Source organism: Homo sapiens, chromosome 9 (genome assembly GCF_000001405.40).
Source record: "Homo sapiens chromosome 9, GRCh38.p14 Primary Assembly".
Classification (NCBI taxonomy): domain Eukaryota; kingdom Metazoa; phylum Chordata; class Mammalia; order Primates; family Hominidae; genus Homo; species Homo sapiens.
The window spans coordinates 31,024,378-31,027,317 of NC_000009.12; the positions used below are offsets into that span (position 1 = coordinate 31,024,378).

The 2,940-nt window shown below is 35.9% G+C and overlaps 1 long non-coding RNA gene across 1 annotated transcript; it reads right to left on the reverse strand.

The window, feature by feature from the left end:
• Positions 1-220: 220 nt before the first annotated feature.
• Positions 221-2,669, reverse strand: LOC107987029 (uncharacterized). The gene is made up of 3 exons (XR_001746569.1): positions 2,565-2,669; positions 1,214-1,256; positions 221-859 (listed from the first exon to the last, which is right to left on the reverse strand). It is a non-coding gene; the product is annotated as an uncharacterized LOC107987029 (long non-coding RNA).
• Between the last annotated feature and the right edge of the window lie 271 nt (positions 2,670-2,940).

The following is a 2,940-nucleotide window of genomic DNA, read 5'->3' on the forward strand; positions in this document are numbered from 1 at the left end:
TAGCTATTGTTTACTAAAAAGATCCTCTTAGAGCTGTGCAAACAAAATTTTAGGATTTTTCTATTAAATGGCATGATGGAGACAATCATATAGCATTGGATTCTCTTTAAGAAGCTGAAACACTTGAATTTCTATGTCTCTTTTATTTATTATTTTTGAGCTAAATTAAAATAACATCCCCATTGAAATAGATAATAATATCTATTTCTCCAAAGCTTGTGATTATAACTTACAAAAATATGAAATAAAAACTTAAAGCATATGAGACAGGTATGGAAAAGATGTTTATGCTAATCTGGTAGAGAAAGAAAACTTATGAAGTACACACCCTGTAAAATTTTTTTTCTTTTCTCTCAGGGATGTCCTGAGGAGCAAATAAGATAATGACTGTGAAATTGGTCCACACATTATGAAACAATAGATAGATACAAGGTATTATTTTTACTACACAGAATACTGCCTGTCCTTACTAGACATGATCATTCACTAATATCCATATCTGCTATGAATCTGTCATCATAAAATACAGTAGTGCTAAAAAGAAAAGTAATTTGAACACATAATTTATTTTTAGAAAATTTATATACCTCCCTATGGTTATAAAGGAAAATGTTTATCTTTCTCTCTGGCAAACCTTTATGAATAGCTCAAATGATACTCATTACTGTTAATCTTTTCTCTTGCTTGAATCACACTAAGATATTACCAGGTGTCATCCTGCCTTAATTTCACCATTCACCTGAGTTCTAAACATGGATTCAGCTTAGCATTAAGTTTTCTTCAGAGAGGTTTAGATGAAGTTGGCACAGTCAATGGGTGCATCATCCACAAAGCAGCATATCATGAAGAATGAACACTTCTGGGAAAAGAAAACAGAGACACATAAAAGAAGAAGCATTGAAAATTTAAGAGACTAAATCATAGTAGGCTTTTTGAAGCAGTGCTTCCATGAAGAAAGAGAAAGTAGAGGGTTGAAGAAGAATGAGGTTGAGGGCCTGGCAGGTAACGATAATGCCGTACAATGTGCATAATATAATTTACATGAGATCTGTGTAAGATCACTGTATCCAAGCTGGAAAGGTAGATTGGCCCCAAAGGAAACTGATAAGAGATGAAGTTGCAGTAATTATTCAAAGGCTTCAAAATATTGAAACTCATCAAAGCAAAACAACAAACATGATATTTTAGTTTAATTGAAAACACTGTGTGTTACCTTGTACAGATCACTTGATATCTCCAAGTCTTGGCATTCTCAGCTATAACATGAATATAATGATACTTGTATTCAGAATCCTTATGATGTGCTCAAAGGTTTGTCATTATAACCTAGCAGTTTTGATTTTACTTAAAGGAGTCATAGGAGAAAAAGGTGCATCATGGACTTCATTTCTATTAGTACCAGAAAATACAAAGCTAGACTTAAAGAATGTAGGGCAAAAACTGGTTTGCATACAATATTGCACATTAACACACACACATGCATACACATATATAAATACATATATATGTGTATAATCTTTTTAAAATAAGGGTCTTCACACCTGTAATCCCAGCACCTTGGGAAGCCAGGGTGGGTAGATCGCTTGAGCCTAGAAGTTTGAGACCAGCCTGGGCAACATAGTGAGACCCCGTCTCTACAATTAAAAAAAAAAAAAAAAATTGGCCGGGCGCAGTGGCTCACGCCTGTAATCCCAGCACTTTGGGAGGCCAAGGCGGATGGTTCATGAGGTCAGGCGATCGAGACCATCCTGGCTAACACGGTGAAACCCCGTCTCTACTAAAAATACAAAAAATTAGCCAGGCGTGGTTGCGGGAGCCTGTAGTCCCAGCTACTCCGGAGGTTGAGGCAGGAGAATGGCGTGAACCCAGGAGGCGGAGGTTGCAGTGAGCCGAGATCGGGCTACTGCACTCCAGCCTGGGTGACAGAGCAAGACTGTGTCTCAAAAAAAAAAAAAAAAAAAAAAAAAAAAAAAAAAATTCTGGCATGGTGGCACATGCCTGTAGTCTCGGCTATTCGGAAAGCTAAGGTGGAAGGATCACTTGATCCTGGGCCGGTAGAGGCTGCAGTGAGCTGTGATTGCTCCACTGCACTCCAGTCTGGATGACAGAGCAAGACCCTGTCTCAAAAAATAAATAAACGAAATAAATAAAATGTAAATGTAAATGAAATGAAATTAAAAAGGGTTAGTATACAAAAGAATGAATAATTAGGAGAATAGAAATTTCTGCCAACAGGCAGATACATTGTCCAAATGATCTTTCCTGAAATGGTGTGGCTCATAATTATATCAGTCTCTAATTTGATGCCCAATGAATATTAAATGTGGATTGGAATTCTCCCACACAAATTCAGTAGCACTCATCAGGGAAAACTGTTTAGCCTCATTAAAGCAGAAAAAAAAATAGATTTTTAGACATTTATTGGCTAGAAATCTTGGTGTCAGTTAATGTTTGAAAGCATTTCAAGACATTACAACTCTTAACTCTGCTTTTAGCATAGGTTTTTGGACTGGAGGCAGAAAACAATATGAAATATGTTCTTTTACAAGAGAGGTTTTGCTTACCTTTAGCACTGGCAACACCAGGATGATATTGTTTCTCAGAAAAGAAAAATCCATCATGTATGCAAATGGTCCTGTAATGCTCTACACAGAGCATAGAAAATCATTTCTAAAATGTTATCAGATGACAACCTGAAATATATCATAAAAATCATTTATTGTTTTTGGTAACAGTACACTAAAATATAGGACTGTTAAGTTTTTACAAAAAAATTAGCTGGAGTAAGAATATAAGGATTATCATATAATGCTTAAAATTTAAATATTATGACCCAATGGTGCTGAAAGATGTTTCAAACGCTTTAGGATGAAGTACTGGTGGCTTTGGAGATTGCTCTTCTGCCAGCTCTTAATGTTAAAATCAGTCCCCTACAGAACT